This window comes from Homo sapiens, chromosome 15 (genome assembly GCF_000001405.40).
Source record: "Homo sapiens chromosome 15, GRCh38.p14 Primary Assembly".
Lineage (NCBI taxonomy): Eukaryota > Metazoa > Chordata > Mammalia > Primates > Hominidae > Homo > Homo sapiens.
In genome coordinates, this window is record NC_000015.10 from 34,558,005 (window position 1) to 34,581,096 (window position 23,092).

Here is a 23,092-nt window from a genome sequence, read left to right on the forward strand (position 1 = left end):
AAAGGAGATGTGGAATGAAATGGAGCCCCCTGGCCTGATAGAGGCCTCCAAGACCTGCCACACCCACGTCTGCCCCCAACTCCCCAGTCAACCTTCAGAGAAGAGAAGGTGATCTCTCTCCAGCTGAGACCAAGCCAAGGCCCAAACTGTTGTAGCTGAAGGATGTTTGGGCTAGGCTCATAGAAGCTGTTCCACTCCTGCAGTGTCAACAGCTGCCTGTGGTCCAGGCTTCTGTCTGGTCCTGGGTTTTTTTTTTTTTTTTTTTGAGATGGAGTCTTGCTGTGTTGCCCAGGCTGGAGTGCAATGGCGTGATCTCAGCTCACTGCAATCTCTGCCTCCCGGGCTCAAGCAGTTCTTCTGTCTCAACCTCCCGAGTAGCTGGGATTACAGGCACCCGCAATCATGCTCGGCTAATTTTCATATTTTTGTAGAGACAGGGTCTCACCATGTTGGCCAGGCTGGTCTAGAACTCCTGACCTCAGGTGATCCACCCACCTCAGCCTCCCAAAATGCTGGGGTTACAGGTGTTAGCCACCGCACTCAGCCTTGAAGAGACACTGGGCCTTTTAAGAGACACTGGGTGCTGACTCACTTCTGGGTCTGCCCCATGGGTGGCCCACCGGGTCTGCTCTGGGTGCAGCCAGGCTGTGCACGTCAGGGAGCCTGAGCTGGACTTAAGGTGGGGAGACATCACTCCCCAAGAGCTGCTCGGGTGCGACATCAGGGTGGAGGCTGTTGCTGTGTGTGGCGGCATCACTCATTTACCCTCGTCTCATCAGCCTCTGTCCTTCGGCTCATCTGCTTGCAGGTGGCCTCTGATTCTGCCTCTGGAGCCTGTCTGCCCCCTCTTGATTCATTCATTGGGTCCCAAATATGTGAACAATAGCATGCTAGCCACTTTTAGAAATATTTGTGTTCATCTTCAAGAGAGGGGGGTCATCCAGCCATTCCCCAGCCCTCAAAACCCACTCCACAGACAAAGCAGTGGCGGGTCAGGGCTCCTCTTGCTCTTCTGAGCCGCTGGCATAGCGAACACGGTACAAAATAAAAGGATTTCACATGCAATAGAATTTCATTCACCCTGAAAAGGGAAGGAAATTCTGACACAGGCTACAATATGGATAAACCTTGAGGACATCCTGCTAGAGCCAGTCACAAAAGGACAAGTACTGTGTCATTCCACTTCTCTGAGGCACCCACAGTAGAGTCACAGAGACAGGAAGTAGAATGCGGGTGGCCAGGGGCTGGAGAGAGCAGGGAGTGGGGAGCTGGTGTTTAATGGGTGCAGAGGTTCTGTTGTGAAGATGGAAAAGTTCTGGAGATGCATGGTGGTGAAGACGGCACAACAGTGTGAATGTACTTAATGCCACTGAACTCTACACCTAAAAATGGTTAAGATGATAAATTTTACATTATGTATATTTACCACAATAAAAGAAATAAGAAATAAAAGGTTTTTGGATGATGAACGGGCTCGAGCCAATTTGGACCCTCTAAAGCTAAGTTGAGCCAGGCTGAACCCATGTAGCCAGAATCATACTGGATTAGGCTGTTCTAGCACTTCACGTGGTGAGAATGGGGGAGAGAGAGAGAGATTGATTGATCAGGGGGCTGTGCAGGGGGCGTGCTACACACTTGTAAACAGCCAGATCTCTTGTGAACTCAGAGCAAGAGTTCACCTATCACCAAGAGGATGGCCCAAGTCATTCATGAGAGATTTGCCCCATGATCCAGACACTTACCTCCCACCAGGCCCCACCACCAGCATTGGGGATTGCATTTCAATATGAGATTGAGGTGGGGACAAATATCCAAACTGTATCACCCACAAAGAAGCAAAAACATTTTGGGCCAAATCAAAACTATTTTGATGTAGCCACAGTAGGGATGAGCTGTGATTACACCCATTCAGGCCTGTGGACCTGCGGACCTGGCGTGTGTGGTCGTGGGGCGGTGCGTGGGCACATCCCTGGGAGGTTTCAGGAGGACATTCAAGACCAAAATGAGCCATGAGTAAATAATACAACCACATCCTGAGTGGGAGTGGGGGAGCCTCCCCTTCTCTCCTAGGTCTTGTATGGGTCATGATCCCACCTTGGCAGGAGTGGAAGGAACACAGATCCTACAGGCTGTGGCTTATAGTAAAGTGACTGTGGTCATGCCTTGTGAGTGTCATTAAAATAAACAGATATCGTTAAATCCACTATCAAATAACAGCGATTTCTGCTATCCTTTCACCTTTTCCACAAGTTTAAATATCCCAGATATTCTACTGTGTATATTCCTAAAAGTAGACAGGTAGATTTAGTGAAGTTAACTGGATCATTGGTATCTTCTTTATAGATCATCTGGTGAAACTTGTTTTGCAAATTATGAGTTGTAGGCCTTTGTTTTAATGTCTGTAGCCTTAGGCAGTTCCATTGAGACTAACTCAGTTTTTTTCTTATTAGGACTAATCTTATTGACCGGAACTGTGGACTCCCCGTATTAGGAGAACAGAGATCTGGCCTGTGTAAATGAGTGGAAGTTAAATACTGTAGAAAATGCCCTCTGGAAACTGAAATCTAATGCTGACTTACTATTGGTCATTTAATTTCCTTCTGGCTTGGGCACCATCGTTACATTCATTTTTCAGATGTCAAGCTAGTTTTCTCAGAATGTGTGCAGGGCTCGAGGCCGAGTGTGGAGGCCACTGGGTGAATACAGGAGAGGTCACAGGTCAAGCCTCCTGCGAGAACTGCAGGCTTGAGCCTTCGATAGAGCCACGTGAATGATTTTTAGCCCCACTAGGTTGCTGTCATTAAACTATGCACACAGGGCTTCTTGCTTTTAAGTTAGCAGGATGGAAAAATTGCAGGTGTTTGCAGCAAACATGAAGAACCAGCCATGCTGGCCCCTAAGCAATGGTATTAGAAAGGGTTGGTGAAGATTTTCTCATTTGAGAACTGAACAAAACCAAATGGAATTCTCCCTAGTTCTGCAGCTCTGGGGGCTGTAAGCGGCGGAGCTTCCACCTTCCCCACAAACGGACCCAGAGTGGCACCTGGTATGTGAGGCAGGTGACCAGGAGAAGGGGGTGTCAGTGGTTGATGGGCAGCTGCCTCTGCTGCCTGGTTGACCCAGCCCCTTCCTGGGTCATCTCCCACTTTGCCTGGGTGTCAGTCACTGGAGGGTTAGCGCAGTACAAGCTGGCGGGTGACCTCCGTAGAGCTTAGGTGAAGGGGCTCTCACAGGGCAGTATGTTTGAGACCCTTAGAGGGCTCTCCTTACTCTTGCTTCTCCCATTATTTTTAAATTGTAGTAATACACTTGTAACATAAAGTTTACCATTTTAAAGTGTACAATTCAGTGGCATTTAGTACAATGTTGTGCAACCACCTCTGATATTTAGTTCCAGAACATTTTCACTGCCCCCAGAGGAGACCCTGTACTTATTAAGCAGTCACTCCTCATTCTTCCCTCTCCCCGCAGCCCCCACAATGAAAAATCTGTTTTCTCACTTTGGATTTGCCTATTCCGGATATTCCATAAAGACGGGATCAGACAATATGTGCCCTTTAGTGTCTGGCTTATTTCACCAACATAATGTTTTCAGGGTTCATCCCTGTTGTAGCACGTGTCAGTACTTCGTTCATTTCTGTGGCTGAATGATATTCCACTGAATGGCTATGTTTTTATTTTCATTTTTACTTTTTGAGATGGAGTTTCACTCGTCGCCCAGGCTGGAGTGCAGTGGTGTGATCTCGGCTCACTGCAGCTGAAGGGCTATATTAAGTTTCATTTATCCATTCATCCACTGAGGGACATTTGAGTTGTTTCTACCTTTTGATTAATGTGAATTCTGCTGCTGTGACCATGTGTATACAAGCTTTTGGGAAATTTTATTTGGCTAGTCGTAACTTTAAGTTTTGTTTTGGCTATTTATTGTTGCTTAACCAATTATCCCAAAACTTAATGGCATAAAACGGCAAATTTGTCTCTCTCTCACTATTGTATGGGTTAATGGGCTAGCTGGACAGTTTTTCTGCTGGTCTCATTTGGCAGCTCTCACTGTGCAGTTAGACAGTGTCAGGGACTGGTCGTCTGGATGCTCAGCTGCAGTGGAACGTCTGAGACGGCTTCTTCACCCACAGGTCTGCTGCCTTGGTGTTTCTTCATGTGGCCTTTCTACATAGCATCTCATACTCTTGGCCCTCTTCATGTAGCTTCTCTTTCTCCAAGAGGATAGTCAGTTCTTCTTTTTGGCTTCCAGAAGCACAAAAGTGCAAGCTGTCAGATGTTCTTAAGGCTTAGACCTAGAACAGGTCCAGTTTCATTTCTACCACATTCTATAGGTTAAAGGAAGTCTCGGAGCCAACCTTGATTCACTGTGGAATGGGCCCTTCCGAGGATCTGAATGACAGGAGTTGTGGCTCATTGGGGACCAACTCCAAAGATGAAGCCTGAGTTCTGAGAACTTTTTCTTCTCTGATTACTCCTTATTCATATTTTATGTTTTGTTTTATAGATGTAATATATTCACAAGTGTCTTTAAGGAGCTATTTTGATACTCTTTTGTCCTCTCCCTAGCATGTCTTTTTTCTTTAATAATTTTTTTCTTAGTTTATTTTGGTCTTATTTTTCTTTCAAAAGCCTTTCCCAAAATATCTATTCTATGTTGCTCATCATTTGTCATCTTTTTTAAAATGCCCCCTTTTGTTCATTCATATTTGAGAGAAGGACTAAAAGACTGACTGGGAGGCTGGGTGTGGTAGCTCACATCTATAATCTCAGTGCTTTGGGAGGCTGAGGTGGGAGGATCACTTGAGCCCAGGAGCTCAAGACTAGCCTGGGCAACACAGTGAGACCCCCATCTCTAGAAAAAATAAAAATTAGCCGGATGTGGTGGTGCCCGCCTGTAGTCCCAGCTACTCAGGAGGCTGAGGTGGGAGGACTGCTTAAGCCCAGGAGATTGAGGCTGCAGTGAGCTATGATCATGCCACTGCATTCCAGCCTGGGCGAAAGAGTGAGACATTGTCTCAAAAAATAAATAAATAAATAAATAAATAAAAAAGAAGTTTGGGAGTTCTTTCTGGCCAAGACTTGTCAACTGATAGCTTTTAGGGGAAAGGGTTTTTAGGGGGAATTTATGCTGATTCCCAATTGTTATCCCCACCCCTCTATCTTATCTCTTTGCGCAATCATAAATGATGGCAGGAACTACTCCATTCCTCTGGAGGTGAAATCTACGTTCTCTTGCCTGAGGTAGATACATGTTTGCTGGGGTTCTGCTTAAGGAAATGTGGGAGAACCATGTGTTTCAGGGCCTGGAAAATGTGTTCTGTATGTAGGCTTTTGGTTAATCTGTTTTCAGTCTTGCCTATCAGTCCCACTCTCCGGGGTACCTGGTGTCGGAGTCTAGTGCCTCTGCAGGGTACTGTGGGACAAATTAGCCTCCTTGTTATCGGTATCCCCCTAACCTCCACCTTTGTTTGCTTTGCTTCATTAATTAACCATTTCCCATTTACTGTCATTGTCTATTGGAGGTGAATTCTCTTCTCTTGGTAACCCCATCCCTTTTTTTTGGTAATTGTGTGTGTTTATACAATCTTTATTCTTCACTGTAATTCCCATGGAGCCTCAGGAAAAAGAGCAGATGGGAGAAATATGTGTTCAGTGTTCAGTTTTCCTTCTGTAAGACACCTGCAACCTGTGTTTTTCACAGAATAGACCATGGACTTAAAGCATAAAGAGCTACTTTGTTTTTCATGATTGTGCCTTCAATTCTATGTAGAAATATAATCTGTGAATTACCTGATGAAATTTTCCTAATTTTGAATCATCCTTGTATTCCTATAATAAACACTGTTAGAATGCATATGGTAGTGTTTTATTTTTGCATTTTTACTTTTATATTAAATAAGATTATAGTTTTGTTTCCTTCCTTCTAGGCTCTTATTTCATTTCCGTACCAATGGTATGCAGGGCTGACTTGGGAAGCTTACATGTTTTTCTAAGATCTAGGATGTAGCTCTAGTTAACACAGTAATTTTCAACTGAAGGAGATTTTTGCCCCCCATGGGATGTCTGGAAATAATCTGGAGACATTTTCGGTTGTCACAACTGGTCATGATGGGAGGTGCTATTGGCATCTCTTGGGTAGAGGGGGTGTTACTAAACGTCCTACAACACACAGGAGAACCCTCCACAAATTGTCTGGCCCAGTATATACACATCGCTGAGGCTGAGAAACCCTGGTTTAAATAAATGTCCAATTTGGAGAGTGAGTCTTTGACTGCCATTTTTCTTCTTCTATGTGTTGGTCTCCAGATTTCCCACTTTTTCAGTTAGTTGTAGTAACTGTAGATTCTTAAAAAAAAAAAAAAAAAAAAAAAGGATTGCTTCATCTTTACTTCTAGGCTGCTGTAAAGATGTATAAGGTTTTCACTTTTTGCATCATATTCACATTAGAAACAGCTGAGTTTTGGAGGGAACACATTCAAACGGTAGCAAATTTAGTAGAGCAAATTCCAAAGACATTGAGTCTAGGCCAGTTGTCAGTCCTGGGTATAATTTTAGATGTTTTCAGGCTCTGAAGCTTTGCATTTAAATGCAAATTTCGGAACAAAGATCTGTGTCTCTGCACTGACCAAATAGAAGGTATGTGAATGTTATGGTCTTGATTGTTTTACAAGATTTTTTCTGCAGGTACTTTTGCAAGCGTGTAGGGAGAGATGAGAAGTTCCAACGAAAAGGGTGTGAGGTCTTTGGGGCCAGCTTTGAGCTGGCAAGGCTAAATTATAGGAAGAAGGCAGAGAGGTGGGCAGAGACCAGATGTGGGAGGACTTCCTGTGTCATGCCATGGAGTCTGGACTCCACCCTGTAGGTGACAGGAGCCAAGACAGGGCTTGGCACAAACACATGGCACATTTGTGGTTAAGAAACGTCTTCCTTGCTTCCTTGTGGCCTTGAGGGATGAATTAAGGGGCTGGAAAACTGGCAGCAGGACGGCCTGTGCCCATGTTTCAGCTGAGAGCCGGGTGGGTGGCAGGGGCTACGGAGAAGGTGGTTGAGTTTAGCTCCAGTCCCCAAAAGGTGCTGTGGGGAGGAAGAATTTCCAGCTGCCAGGTCAGCCTCTTAGATCCAGTTCTCTTTTTTTTTTTTTTTTTGAGACGGAGTCTCACTCTTGTCGCCCAGGCTGGAGTGCAATGGTGTGATCTTGGCTCACTGCAACCTCCGCCTCCCAGGTTCAAGCAATTCTGTGGCCTCAGCCTCCCTAGTAGCTGGGATTACAGGCGTCCGCCACCACGCCTGGCTAATTTTTGTATTTTTGTAGAGACAGGGTTTCCCCATGTTGGCCAGGCTGGTCTCGAACTCCTGACCTCAGGTGATCCACCCGCCTCGGCCTCCCAAAGTGCTGGGAATACAGGCTTGAGCCACCGCGCCCGGCCCTTGGATTAATTTCTTCATGCTTAAAATGAAGGAAACGTGAATCATTGATAAGGTGTCCCCTCTTTAACAAAGCAACAGATGGTTTATCAGGGCCTCTCTTCGCAGGCAGTGGGGCCTCATCCACAACCCTGGAAAAGAACTGGAAAGCGTTGCTCAGCCAGGTACGGAGGGCAGGGCCATGTGGGACTCCCGTCTCCAGGCCCCCTCTCCCCAGCTCCCGTTTCTTTCTTTCTTTCTTTCTTTCTTTTTTTTCTGAGACGGAGTTTCTCTCTTGTTGCCCAGGCTGGAGTGCATGTTGCTGTGCACTTTGAGGGCAGGAACTGGCTCCTGCTCCAGTTTGCATCCTCTGCGCCCGGCACCAGGCCCGTCTGCTCAATGCAGGATAAGCAGGTAGCTTCGGGCTGTCCACCCAGCCCTTGCAGAGGGTGGAGCTACAGAGAGCATGAGTGGCCAAGATGAAGCCCTCATTGGATTCTTTGACTCTTTCTACTATGTGAGATATTCTTGATGTCTGAGGGATGAACGGCAAACAAAGTGTGGCCTACCCATACAATGGGGACAGTAGTTAGCCCTAAGAAGGAAGGAAGTTCTGACGCACGCTACAACACAGGTGGGCCTTGAGAACGTCACGCTAAGTCAAAGAAGCCAGTTGGAAAAAGACAAATGATTGTATGATTTCACTCACATGTGGCACCTGGAGTCGTCAAATTCAGAGACAGAAAGTAGAATGGTGGCTGCCAGGGGCTGGGGGAGGCGGAAAGGGGAGTTAGTGGACACAGAGTTTCAGATTGCAAGATGAAGAAAGTTCTGGAGATGGATGGTGGTGATGGTTGCACAACACTCTGAGTGTATTTAATGCCACAGAATCATACACGTAGAAGTATTTCAGATGGTAAATTTCATCTTTTGTGTATTTACCATAATTTTTAAAAACTAAGAAAATTAAGATATCCTTGATGTCAGACGCCAGGAGAGCGGTGTCAGGCATCTCACCAGCCGATTCTCCCAGAAGTTTTCCTCCATCGGGTAACCACGAGCCTGGGGTATCACAAAGAGAAGCCTCAGTGTAAAATCAACAATCTCAGTGGAGTGGCTTCATCAGGGAGTGACAGGGGCGTGATTTACTACTGGAGGACAAGGCAGCAGGCAGGGAAGATGGCCCAAGCCTGCTTTGAACTGTAAGGAGCACGCAGAACCTCTTATCCAGACGGGGGCTGCCCTGTTGACAGCACAAGCAGCTCAGGGCCAGCGGCGCAGGAAAACCCCAGGGTCCAGCCAGGTCACGGGCACAGGCCTGCACTCACGGGTCACTGCAGTGAGGATGGAGGTGTCACTGCAAATGCGTAAGAGGATATTTTCAGCAATAGTAAAATTTTTAACAGATTTTAGAAATGAAAGGGTTCCCCCTGCATATGTCAAGAACCTGAGTTTCTTTCTGAAACTTGGGTGGGACCCTTTAGAGTTGCTTCAAATAGAAAACACACCATCGGCGGCCACTCCCCTGAGGAAAGGCAGACTTCATGGCTGAAAGCGTCACCCAAGTGCTCCCGGTTTTCAGCATCACATGGAGTGGCTCAGGTGCCCATTCATTTTATGAGTCAGCCTGGGGAGAGTACCCACAGATTCGGAGTCACATCTCTGATGGGACACAAGCTCTACCCTTTCCAAGCATTGATGATCCTGAGGTTGATCAATACTGAGCATTGATGTCTGTGAAAACAAATCACTTAGGTGCAGAGACACCGCAATGACCATCCCGCCGGGGGCAACCGCCTGATTCCTTCCACATCCTGGTCAACATCCCTGGCCAACAGGGCAGCCCACGGACAGCTGCTCTGCCTGGCTCCTGCTGAAAAGCCAACAGCACAACAACTCTGCCCTCCATACAAAACCACATGGGCCCTCGAGATCACACTGGGGCGCCCCCTTTGCCCCCACTTCCTTGGGCTGTGGCTGGCCTGTCTGACATTTGCCCTGGGAGATGAGCCAGGGTCTGCCCAGGCCACCACGGGGGCAGAGACGTGAAGCAGGCTGCAGCTACTAATTTTCCATTAAACGAGAAGAAAATCGGCTATTGTGAGAAGAGTCACATGAAGGTACCTAAAAGTTGTCACAGTCCACTCACTCGAAATAAAACCCATCCCATTAGGAACACTGTCATTGCAGCCCATCTCCAGCACTCTGCTCTGTATAAAAGACTGACTGTGGCAAGATAAGGGTTTAAAATTGAAAATCAAAGAGCCATTCCTCAGTGATACCCAGGAAATGACGCACACGGGCAGATATTAAACCCACCCACACCAAGAATCCTAAAAGTTACCATACAGATTACTGGTTTTCAAGCAACACACAATGATACAAGTAAGTCCTCAAGAAGGCTGCATGGGTTGAGGCACTGGACTTCTCATCATGCCATCTCTCAGCTCAGGGGTCCATGACAAAGCTAACCCCACTGAGATGAAAAGCCACTTACCCCTTTTTCATCACTTGCAATACAAATTTCAGAACCCATCCCAAACTGGAAGGAAGGATACGACTGAAACTCAACTCATGCCCAGCTAACCTGGGAAGTACACCCTCCTCAGATAATGGAGACCCACCAATTCCCGGGTGTCAGACGTCACACAACCTCTTCTCCCACCAGGGCTGGGGACCCTCAGGAAAGTCAGGTGTCCCTGAGAAACACCCGGCAACATGCAGAACCACAGGGACAGGAGGCAAGGTTCCAGACAAATACACCCAGTAGACAGTTAAAGATTTCAGAGCTGGAGAGAGCTTAGGACACCCCGATTCTCAGACTGCAGACAGCAGGTGGACACCACTGAGCTGGCGACAGCCCCAAAAGAGGTCAGCTTGACTGCGACGAGGGGACGTCTTCATTATCTGTCCAGTGCTCTCTGACATCACCCCACCCCGCCTCCTGTAGCAGTGTTCTATCTACATGAAATTAACCTCACGTATAAAACATATTCCTGGTTCATTGGCAAACAGGCAGCTCTGAGCAGCACATTCAGAAGTTGCCAACTTTGGGAGGCAGAGGAGTTCGAGATCAGCCTGGGCAACATGGTGAAACCCCATCTCTAGGAAACATTTATAAGTCAGCTGGATATGGAGGCACGTGCCTGTGATCCCAGCTACTCTGGAGGCTGAGGTGAGAGGATCACTTGAGCTCAAGTGGTCAAGGCTGCAGTGAGCCAAGATCACACCACTGCACTCCAGTCTGAGCAACATAGTGAGATCCCGTCTCAAAAAGAAAAGAGGTTGCCAGATTAATCCAGTACACACTTCTTTAATCCCGTAGTAAATTTTCTCTTTATAGCCAATTCCCAAAGTCAAGTATATTGACTCATAAAAATACCTTCTGGGAAGCATGTGACTGATTTCCAGCTGAGAGGCCCTGCCACTGGATGGTTAAGTTCATAGGCCCCAGAGTCAGAAGGGGGTTGGAATCTCCCCTCTGCCATGCCTGCTACTTGGCCTTGTGTACGCTCGCGCTCGTGCGCTTGTGCGCTCTCTCTCGCTCTCGCTCTCTCTCTCATGCTGATTCTGCAGGCATTCTACAGGCCTCCCATGTCCCAGGAGCCAGCTCTGTCCACAGTGCTCTTCCTGCTCCTGCTCCTGGCCAACCCTCCAACCAAGGTGTCTAGGAGCCACAGGGAAGAGCGGGTTCTCTTGCTAGTTGCTCTTCCACTAGGCTGTGACACGCTGGCCGAGCTCCGCCTCCACCGGCTCTGAAGACAGCACAGACAACTGTTCCACCTCTTCCACTTCCACTGAGCAGAGGAACTGCGTCTGAATGAAGCCAGAAATGGGGCATTTGGGGACCGCAACAGAGAATGGATGCCTAGCAGATGGGAAGACGACAAACTAACAAACACCCAGGCCTTGGACCCACGCCTCCCGGTAGGCTCCCTCTCCTCTCCCTCTCCCCTCCATCACACTTCGGACCTTCCTGGGCCTGGATCACCTTCCTGGAAAGCTGACCACCCCCATGCCTCTGGGCGCCACTCCCCTGCCCTACCACCACAGGGCAACATGGGGCCACATCACGCCACCCTGCAGCTCCTGTTGGAAGAGGCTGAAATCCTGGCAACACCCACCCATCAGTCCCAAGTCCCCGAGCATCAGTACCTTCATGCAAAAGGCACTAGGTTGGCTGCTTTATCTCATAAGATGAGAAAATGATGCCCATCACCATAAACACATTGTTAGCTGGTATTGATAGCTGTTAACACCCTGAACAAAGACTAAATGAAAATGATGGAAACTAGTGTAAAAAGTCTATGATGTGCAAAATAACAAAATCTAACCTAGCAGTAGCCACTCCCTACCACTTGTCACAAGGAAGCACGAGGAACTCACAGCAACTGGCAGCTCCTGCAGGGCGGACACTCCAAGGTCAAGGCTAGAACATAAATGACAGGGAACAACTGAGGATGACCCTGAGCTTCACAGATTCCAGGGCCTCCCCTGGGGCCATGGGTCCCAGTGGAAATTTGGTGGCACGGGCAGCATCTCCTGGTACAGTCAGGGTGGGGGCTCCCCTCAACCAGTTTGGTCCACCTCCATGGACCCTTTGGCCACTGAGTCACACATGCTGGCCCCACCACCTGCTTTGAGAACCAGAGCTGTACCCTACCCTCTTCTCCCTACCCCTCATCTGCCTGTGCAACCAGGGGGCCACCACCACTGCCTGGGGGTCCTCACGTTTGGAGGAAGCAGCTGAGGCTACCAGTGGCTGCCAGCTTGCTGGCATGGGTCCCAGACATTGCCACCACCACAGCCACTGACAGCACCTGAGGAGACCCTCTGAGCCCCCTGCCTGAGGCCAAGCAGCAGAGAAAGCCACATCCTCTAAGGCCCCCATGGGTGAGCACCCATGTGACAGCCCCTGCCAGACCACTGCCCTTGCCTGGAGAAACCACTCCCTAAGACCCCTCTCCTCCAGCTTGCCCAGCCACACAGGGAAAAAAACTCACTTAAACTGTCCACCGGCCTGCTTCCACTCTGTGACACAGCGGCTGCCCTGGGGACTGCTGAGCTACAGGGACCCCCAGTCAAAGAGCCAACCCACTGACCATGAAGCAGAAAGGCCCTCCTGAGGAGGGCCCCAGGGATCGCAGAGTGGACTAGTATCAAACACCCCTCCACGATGGACCCCATAACAAAAGGCATAAATAACAAAAAAGAAAGGTCGACGATGGCAAATGATTCTCCAATAAAAAAATACGAGAGGAAGAATGACAAACCATTTACATCAACAGAGAGACTGAAGCAAGGTGGGCAGGCAGCCCACAAATTTAAAAGGCAACAACTTTTCTACAGACCAGCCATGATCAGCTAGAAAACAAGGCAAGAGGAGGGGATGATCCCAGTGACAACAGCAGCAGAAGTGAGAGACGCACAAACATGCATGAATAAAGCAATGAAGCTCCAGTGATGGAGGCAAAGGACTTTTTACATAAATCAAAATCTGGATGAGAAGAAAATACAAAAGCTCTCTCCTCTCCCCACCCCCAACCCCCACCATAAAACCCACAGAGCAACCTTAATCAAAATCCCAATCAGAATATGGGATGAATTTAGTTTATTCTAAAGTTTATCTAGCGGCCGGGTAGGGTGGCTCATGCCTGTAATCCCAGAACTTTGGGAGGCCAAGGCAAGAGGATCACTTAAGCTCAGCAGTTCAAGACCAGCCTGGGAAACTTGGAAAAACCCCACCTCTACAAAAAACACAAAAATTAGCCAGGCGTGGTGGACCCTACTACTTGGGAGGCTGAGGTGGGAGGATCACTTGAGACCAGGAAGTCAAGGCTGCAATGAGCCGTGTTTGCACCGCTGCAATCCAGCCTGGGTGACAAAGTAAGACAGTCTCAAAAAATAAATTAATTAAAAAAAAATAAAGCTTATCTATTCAAAGGAATATAGGAGAAAGGTTGGCGGAAAATGAAAAAAGAAGAGGAATGAAGAGGTAATGGCCCTTTAAGATAACTAAGTCTTACCAAAAGCCACCGTAACTTACACGGTAGATAGTGGCACAACAATAAAGCAGTAAATTAGAATGGAGAACCCAGAAACACAGAAGAAACACTCAGAACACAGCAGCTACTTAACCCATGACAAACCTGCCAAAACAGAGAGGTCAAAGTGGCTGACTAGGAAATTAGGTTGGAATCGTATAAAAAAAAAAAAAACTACATCCACAAATCACACCGTATCTAAAATACATTTTAGATCAAAGAAGAGATGTAAATGTAAAAAAATCGAGACTATCAAGTATTAGCAGAATATGCAGGAGGGTGGTTATACACATTAGGGTACAGAAACCCATTCTCTAAGTAAGATACAAAATTCAGGAGTAATTAAAGCAAGCTTGATAGTTTTAACAATGTAAAATTTCCAAATTTTTACATTGCCAGAGATGTCTTTAAACAAATTCAAAGGACAAGTGGCATCTGAGAGAAAATATCCGCAATATATATAGAAAATGAGGAATAACCCTGTGTACCAAGAACACCTAGAAATCAACAAGGAAAAGCTACACAAATCAAGAGAAAAACAGGCAAGGATGAAAAAGAGAATTAGAAAGAGAAATTCAAATTAGTATTAAGCACAGAAGAAACAGCTTGTTATCATTCACAATTTTTACAAACACAAAATGAAATAAGCTATCACTTCACACCCACATGACTGAATGAAACACAAAGACTGATCATGTCCAGAGAGTGTCGATGTCCAGAGAGTGTCAGTGGGGACACCGCTGCCCCACACACTAGCATCATTTAGAATGGTCACCACCTGTCAAGAGAGCAATTTGGCAATATCTGTTGACACTCTGAATGCCCAAACCATTCAGCCCCGCAAGTCCACTTCTAGGAATCTATGCTACGAAAACAACCCCACGCAGATGCAAGGGTTTAATGTACGAGACTCCACCTGTCAGCATTCTCCGTGAGTGTGAAAAACGGAACCCAAAAGTTCAATAAGTAAACAGTCACATATTATGCAAGCGTCAGAATAATGCTGCTTGCGCAAAGGACAAGGGAGCATCTCTAAGACACACAGCTGGTGAGCGGATCGAAGTGCAAATCTTATTTACAGTAGGATCCCACTTTGTTGAAAAATACTTTTAAAATATGTATGTATTTAAAAGACAAGTAAAATATGTTCACAGACAGAAAAGAAAATGGGAGGAATCGCCACCAAACTGTGAACAATGATTATCTTTGTGGGCACTGAATGGGGCAGTGGTGAAGTTAGGGGGAAGCTTTCATTTTCTATTCTACATGATGCATTTCTGTAAAGTTCTAATCTTTATAATTAGTACATCTGAATTTCATAATCAGAAACAGATATTTAAAGGATCTCAAGATCTGTGTTATATAGATCTATCATATGTTAGGCGCCACCCCCGTTGATGGAGCCAGGGTCCTTCTCAACTCCAAATTCCACTGCCAGAAAAATGGCAGCTTTCTTCTCCAGAGATACAAGATAATTGCGAGAAGGCAAAATTTTTTAAAACAGAGACATCAAGCCAGGTACAGTGGCATGTACCTGTAGTCCCAGCTACTCAGGAGACCGAGGCAGGAGGATTGCCTGAGCCCAGGAGTTCAAGTCCAGCCTAGAGACAACATAGCAACACCTCCATCTCAAAATGCAAAACAAAAACTACAGATGGCAGATCTATTTAATGATTAGCTCTGGTGGGGAGCGCTGCCCCTCAGACCTTGACCTACCCAAGCAGCCTCTAGTTGTTAAAGACTTCTCAGTATTGGAGAATAAAACAAAATAGACAAGCACTTTAAAATTCACCAGAAGTTAGGCCGGGCATGGTGGCTCACGCCTGTAATCGCAGCACTTTGGGAGGCTGAAGCAGGCAGATCATGAGATCAGGAGATCAAGACCATCCTGGCTAACACGGTGAAATCTCGTCTGTACTAAAAATACAAAAGTTAGCCGGGAGGGGTGGCGGGCGCCTGTAGTCCCAGCTACTCGGGAGGCTGAGGAAGGAGAATGGCGTGAACCCAGGAGGTGGAGCTTACAGTAAGCCGAGATTGTGCCACTGCACTCCAGCCTGGGTGATAGAGTGAGACTCCGTCTCAAAAAAAAAAAAAAAAAAAAAAAAAAATTCACCAGAAGTTCCCAAGGAATTTGCTTCCACACATAGAAAATAATCGAGTCCGTTTTTCTGAAAACATGCTTTAAAGTCCAATTGTGGGGAATTGATGTAGATGGTTCCATTTTAACTTCTTCAGCCAGAGGAAATCTAAAAATTCTTCCTTCCAGCTCAACAGAGCAAATCCACCTACTGCTCTGCAAAAGGAGGACAAAGATCCTCCTGGGGCCACAGAATTCAGCAGCTTTTCCTTGGATTCCTAGGACAACCAACAGCTGTGGGACACTAGGCCAAGCTTCAAAAGGCAGCCTGCCAGCCATCGGACTCCCAGGTACCTGTGGAGTCCTAGGTGGTTGAGGAACTGGGGGAGGGCTTGGTTTCAACCTATTTGCCAAATCACCAGCAAAACAAGACATGTTCAAAAGAAACAAGTGCACATAAATAAGCCAGGGCTCTACTCCCCAGCCCATCAGGTCACCGGCCCAGCCCCTCAGTGTGCTGGTGAGCAGGACAATCAGAAAAGGCCTCTCTTCCTGGAATAACTAACAGTCTCTCACCATCCCCACTCCCACTGCCCGGTGTGTCATGGGAAGTCTCTGAAATTCAGGTTTGGGAAATCAGTTGACATGAACCACAACATAATATTAGATGTCTGATTAAAATCATCAAGATGATACAAAGGTCTAATCGCAGAGGTGCTCTCCACTCCCAACCCCCACATCAAGTAGAGCTTTCTCTCCTTCAAATCAGACTTTTTTTTTTTTTTTTGAGAGAGAGAAGTTCTCGCTCTGTCACCCAGGGGAGGGCAGTGGCACCCTCACAACTCACTGCAGCCTCAACCTCCTGGGCTTAAGCGATCCTCCCACCTCAGCCTCCCAAGTAGCTAGGACCACACCCATGAGCCACCACATCTGGCTAATTTTTCTATTTTTTTGTAGAGGTGAGGTCTCCCTGTGTTGCCCAGGCTGATCTCAAACTCCTGGGCTTAAGCGATCCTCCCTCCTCAGCCTCACAAAGTGCTGGGATTACAGCATGAACCACCGTGCCCAGCCTTCAAATCAGATTTCTAAGGAGCCTAACAAGTAGCAGGCCTTTCCAGCTACAGCACATGGAAGTAACAAAGGTAGCCTCAGCCAGCAACCAGCGCAGCCCCAGCAGACAGGGATAATGAAGCGGGCATGGGCCTCACGGGAGGGAATACTGTCCCCCACCTCCACACCATGCTAGTGAGAAAAACAGACTGCCTGCAGCTCCAAAACATACAGCAACTTACCCATAAAACAGGGACCTCTGACGCTTCACATTATCAGGTAAGAAATGTTTCTTGCCCAGCAGCCCCCAGAGGATGAACAGCTCCCTCCACCTGAAAGGGGAAGAGGGCCCAAGCTGCAGGCGCCCTGGCCTATCGAGGCCGTGGACAGGAGGCACCTGAATGTCTCCCCAGACCCCACCCTGCTGCAGAGGCATCTGCAGCCCATCACCCTGCAGCGCTGCTGTTCCCGCTCCTTCTTGGAGAACAGGGGCAATTTAATCTAGAAATCCTATAAATCCTTGTAAAAAAAAAAAAAAGAAGGGTAAAATAAAACGTCCGCACTAGCAAGGCTGGGACTTGGCATCAGCTGCCACCTCCTATAGAACCCAGTGGGGAGTGGGCTCCAGAGCCTCCACATGACGCTGGCGGTGCCTCGGCCAGACACCTGCCCCCGCCACCCTCCTGCGTCCTCACTGCACCCCTCCCCACCCCATGTCACATCTTCTGCTCATACCTCCCCACACCCTCCTCTCGCCTCTGGATGCACCCCTCAACACACCCCTGACCGCGTCTTCCTCCCATGCTCTGAACTGTCCACTAGGGAAGCCAGCTGCAGAAATCACTCTCCTAGAATTCACTTGGTAAAATATGTGTTGTTATTGGCCCACCTACTTTGCTCCCAACCCACAGCAAGGGCTCTCCAGGGCTACCAAGCCCCTAATGGTCAGGAACTGCCCCCCAACCCCCATCTCCAGCTCTGACCTACACAAACTACATAATCCTGCTGCCAAAAACTTGGCCCTCCCTATGCCCAGGGTGCCACACTCCAGGCTGGCCCTTCTGCCGAGAGGGCTCTTCTGGCCTGGGCTCTGAAGGGGCAAACCCACCCACTCTTCTAGGATGGGGTCCATGATCCACCCCAACCTACCGTGGGGCTCTCACATCTTCCAGATTGTGCCTCTCTAGGAGGGCCTTGGACCCAGAGCCAGAATGGGGCTCTGATGCCATTGCACATTCTCCAGCAACCCCTTCCATGCCCTCCCTCCTGATCCCACCCAGCTCTAAACTGGGAACAAGAAAGCTGGAATATAGTAGCTGCTTGGAAAATACCTACTGAGTGCATGGGTGGATAGATGGACAGTGCTCCAGGCAAAGGGACTCGGGGGTAAGAAAAGTGAAGGGTACCTGCTCCCGGTTGTACCACTGCAGAGTCCCTGAGTGTCAAAGGACTGAGAGGTGAATGACGGGACGGGCAAGGTGAGACCTACCAGGTTAGCGTCCCGCACCCCTTTGTTTCCACTATTAGATTAAGCCACCCTATGTGATGGATAAAAGGAGCAACACATACAAGGAGTTAGGCCAGGGTTGCCAAAGTGAGGGGTGGGAATGCTGCCAGTCCAGGGGTCCCCCACGGCAGCTCCCCAAATGAAGTCAAGACAAGTTGGAGATGAGGCTGCCTCTAGGTGTATCAAATCAACTGAAGTAGCACCAGTCCTCAGTGCTGATTAAGCACAGGCACGCCTGTGATCAAGAAGAAAACCATTACTTAATAAAATGCAATTAATTTAGAAGCTGAAAACTGCGAAAGCCCAAGGGAAAGACACAATCAGGAGTTCTTGGTCTGGAGGGGCTTCTGCTCTCAAAGCTTCCAACCCAACACAGCACAAAGACGTCTTCCCCAACAACCACACATCCCACCTGCAAAACGATGACATGCTCCTCTCCAGGTACCTGAACCTTAGGACTCAAAGGGTAGAGAAAGTTCACAGGCAGAATCTTCACAATACATGCACAAAAGAAAGGCACTTCTAGTAGGAGCTGTGGGTCAGGAAAACCTCGATTTCACCCAATGCCATTCCCGAGAGAATCAACCATCAATGTGACCCATTCAGTCCTGCCTCAGGGGCTCAGAATCTAGCAGTCAGGCCAGGTGGGAAGTGCAGGGACCTGTGGCCAAAATCGGTCCATTCATCACTCAGCTGACAGCTTTCACGCGTACCAGCCAGAATCAGTTAGAGGCTGGAGGTAGTGCCAAGTGTCTGAAACCCAGCAGGCAGGTTGGTAAAACACTCACACATCCTAACCCTGGTGACTGCACTGACTGACTGCTTTCCTGTAGCAGAACAGTTGCACACATCTCATCTCCTCCATCCATAATAACTCAGTGGCTGGTGAGGAATGGGACACAGACCTCCACGTGCCCTTCTTGGGATGAGTCAAGACAAACTCTGAGCAGTGACGCTCTACAGCTGGCTCACACGTGCAGGCAGAGCCTGGCTTCCCAGAGCTTCCAGTTCCTAACACATGCCTGGCCCCACTGCACCACACCCGTGACAGCTGCCACCAGCTCCGGATAATTCAGACAGATGCTAGAGCACATGGCTCACTTATTACACCAAAAGACTGAGAAACAGAAACTGTGTTTTAATTGCACAATGCACACACTTGCTTCCAGAGAGACCTGAGAAATCCATCATCCCTAAATGCATGCGGTTACTCAACTAGTGGCTTTACTATTTTTGAAACAATAGATTTTTCCAAGACAGCTGATAATCAAACCAACTGCGGGAAACCATAAACGATACTTGTTTATTAAATTAAGAACACATACAACAGTTCAGAGGAATCCATATTTAGAGCTGCCTTGCTGGAGAATCAATTCCAGGAATGCCAAACCAACCAAATGAAAAAAATTATATATCATACACACACACACACACACACACACACACACACACACACACACACACACACACAGATGCGTCACTTAATGACAGGGATGTATTCTGAGAAATTTATCATTAGGCAATTTCATCATTATGAGAACATCATAGAGCATACATTATACAAACCTACTACAACACACTAGGTTATAGGGTACAGCCTACTGCTCCTAGGCTGCAAACCTAGGCAGCATGTTACTGTGCTGAAGGTGTGTATCTAAACATAGAAAAGGCACAAAGTTAAAATATGCTATAAAAGATAAAACATGGTGCCCCTGTCTAGGGCACTTTCTATGAATGGACCTTCCATGAATGGAAGTTGCTCCGGTGAGTCAGTCTGTACACTAGTGCAGACTTTATAAACATTGTACAGTTAGGCTACATTTTTTTAAAAAATAAAGTAACTGCACTACAACTTTACGACAATGTCACTAGGCAATAGGAATTTTTGAGCCCCATGATATTCTTATGGGACCTCTGTCATATACGCTATCACTCACAAAAACAATGTCATGTGATGCATGACAGTACATATGTATCTCAACTGAAAATCCTAAATGTCAGTAGTGTTCTCTGACTCACTATTTACTAGTAAGTTTCCTCAGAACTGTCTTTGCCTGAGAGTTTCACAACCAAGCGTCTCTCTGCACAGTTGATTCTAGGGACAAGAAGTGCTAAGAATCCATGTTGGCTTCAAGTGCAAAATGGAAAACACCTTAGTGTCCCACCAACCATGTTAGCCACCTTCCTGGAGGGCAAGCTCCCACGCCCTTTCCCCATCGCTGTGAAGAGCTCACGTCATCTGTGGCATTTCCATAACTCTCCGATGCCAGCCATCAGTCTCTCAGCACGTGTTGAAAATTAGCCCCTGTACTTGCCCACCAATGGTCATAAGTCCTAGTCATGCCCACCCCGTTAAAAACAAATCTGATACAAAATGGGCCCCAGCAGGAGACAGAGAGAAAACATGGGCCTCACACTCTCTCCAGCTCAGGCTCAAAGGCCAGCACTGCCCCGTCACAGCAGAGTGCTCTTAGGCAACCCATAGCTCAGCTACCTGTCCCCAGCCTCCTCGTCGCGAAGTTAAGACAAGACCTGCCTTCTGGATTTGTAGGGAAATTATTTAAAATGACAAACAAAGAGGGATGGAACTCAACACACAGAATTGCCCGATGATGCGTGTTTCATTCCAGTGGTTTCGCCATGAAAACCATCTTTAAATGTTGGAGTGTTTCCGTTTCCAGACAACTAGAGATGAAAATATTTCCACAGTCACTCAACGCAGGTATCTCAACCACATATTTTTTTCTCTTAATTTTGATCCTTGAAACACAAAACAACAGATGCACCACCTTACATTAAAACAGCCCTTTAGAGTTTATGACAGGCCTCCTCTGCATTCTCTCACTAGGCCGTAGCTGTAACTCACAAACCTGACCCTTAAAACTCCCAGGACAATAAGAGAAGCCACACCATGGAGTCCTTGCTATCATAAAATATCTCGCATCAGTTCAATATCGCATCTCGTCTGTGCCTCAAAACAACCACAGGCAAGAGGCCTCATGCGCACATTGCAGATGCTGAGAAAGACTCTCAAGCCAGAAGACTGGCCCTGGACCCCAGGGTTTAGTGGCAGGGCCAGGCTGGAACTGAGCTCCTGTTACTCCAAATCCCATCCTCTTTTCTGACCTCCCAGTCCCTTTCTCATAAAACCAAAGCATCTTCTCCAACCAGGCCAGGACACACGCAGGAGAGAGTCAAGCAGGAGGAGGCTTCTGGAAGGGAAAGCAGAGTGGCTGAGAGCCCTGGAACAGAGTCTGACATTAGGTACAAGACAAGTTTGGAAAGATCCAGATGGAGTGGGAAGGGAATCTGGGCGTGGGGGTGCCTCCTTCCAAAGTGCATCCACATCCGAGGTGACTGCAGGGAGACGCAGCGCTGACTTTGGCAGCAGGGACCACCTGGGTGCAGAGAACCCAAACAACTGAAAATCCAAAAAGGAATCTCAGTGCACAATAAGAAAGCTCATTCTTTGGGCTGGTTACCTTCCCAAACACGTTCTCCTCTGGCCTATGTGAAACTGACGTTGCACAGTACAACTCTGCAGCTCTTTCCTGACTGCCCACTGAGTAAGGGTCTGTGCTACATTCTAGGAGGATCCAAAGGTGAACACAGCTGGGTTCCAGCTCTGGGACTCGGGAAAAGGAGGCACAGGGAGCAGGACATGTGCTGCAAGGAGACTACTGCTCCCGTGTTTCATTCACTCACTCATCCAACAACAGCACTAAGGCTCTGCTGTGTGCCAGGCACTTTTCTAGCTACTGGGGATCCAGAGGTGAACAAAGTCTTTTACATTTGAGTGATAAGAGACTGACAATAAACAAACAAGTACATAAATAACACACTGAATGTTGAGTACTAAGGAGAAACACAAAGCAAGGTTAACAAGAGAAGGGGAAGTAACGCTAATTTATGCAGGGCCATCAGGGAGCCGGCAATAGGTGAGGGGCTGGCCAGGTGGGCATCTGGGGGTGGCTGATGCCAAGGGGGTGGGAACAGCAGGTGCAAAGGCCTGGAGGCAAGAGTGGCCTGGCAAATCCGAGGACCAAGGGATAAGACGAAAGAGCCTACATTCAGTTAGGATCTCCGGGATGGACATGGGCCAAGATGACAGGTGGGGATGGGGTGGGGACAACCCAGGGCAGATCTGGGCAATGAGCCTGTCTGCCTGGAGCCAGGAGAGCCTGGAGGGACCATTCTTGGGAGCGAGTGGGAGAATTTGAGAAAAATCAGGCCGAGACACATGGATGTGGAGGGAGCACTGGAAAGCCACTGAAGGCCTGGGCAATGGTGTGTCACCATTGGGCCTGGGCCAACTTGCACAGCCCAACCTGGGAAACCTCACAGCCGGCACAGAAATCATAAAGCACACAGCAATGGCACCCCACCAGTACGCAGGGTTCCAGAGAGAGCCTGGCTGCACGACCTTGAGGTCACCTAACTCCCGGGCCTCCCTTGTGTGTCTGGACAGGGAGAGAGGGGAGGATTGGCTTCAGGAGAGGCGAGAAGCGACAGTGCCCATGACAGCTGACTCAGCCTGTGCCAGCAGGCTGCTCTGAGACATGAGCTGGACCCAACCCAGGCGGTGGGCAGCAGAGGGGTGGGGAGGAACTCTGGGAAAGGAAAGAGCCGGAGAAGCCTCTCTGTGGGCGCTCAGGCCAACCACCATCCAAGGGAACATTGAGCACCCCCAGCCCCTGCCAGGCACACAGGCTGCCTCCTGGTGAGCAACCATCTCAAACTTGACCTACACTGCAGAGGCCTGCCTGGTCATCAGTGGCTACCTTACACCCTACCTGTGTCTCCATGTTCCTAGTCCTCACGGCCACCTGGCAAGGGTGAGGAACTGAGACTGGGTTGAGGACACACAGCCTGTGAGTGGTACAGCCAGGGCCGCCACCCAGGCCCAGAGCTCTCTCCGTTTCTCTAAGGACCAGGCTGAAACGCAGGGCATGTGATCTCTGCCGAAGACATTGAAGCCACCCAGTGATGTGTGCAGGGCCTCGATCC

At 48.2% G+C, this 23,092-nt stretch overlaps 1 protein-coding gene across 2 annotated transcripts in view, besides 1 other annotated feature; it reads right to left on the reverse strand.

The window, feature by feature from the left end:
* GOLGA8B (golgin A8 family member B) overlaps positions 1-23,092 on the reverse strand; it is a 58,557-nt gene that overhangs the window by 32,910 nt on the left and 2,555 nt on the right. The gene's annotated exons all lie outside the window — the stretch shown is intronic.
* Positions 11,704-12,653: an enhancer, noted in NCBI's record as "H3K4me1 hESC enhancer chr15:34861909-34862858 (GRCh37/hg19 assembly coordinates)". NCBI's record gives its function as "activates a minimal SCP1, AML or CMV promoter by ChIP-STARR-seq in naive H9 embryonic stem cells {active_cell/tissue: H9 hESC(naive)}" and the evidence as "EXISTENCE:reporter gene assay evidence [ECO:0000049][PMID:30033119]".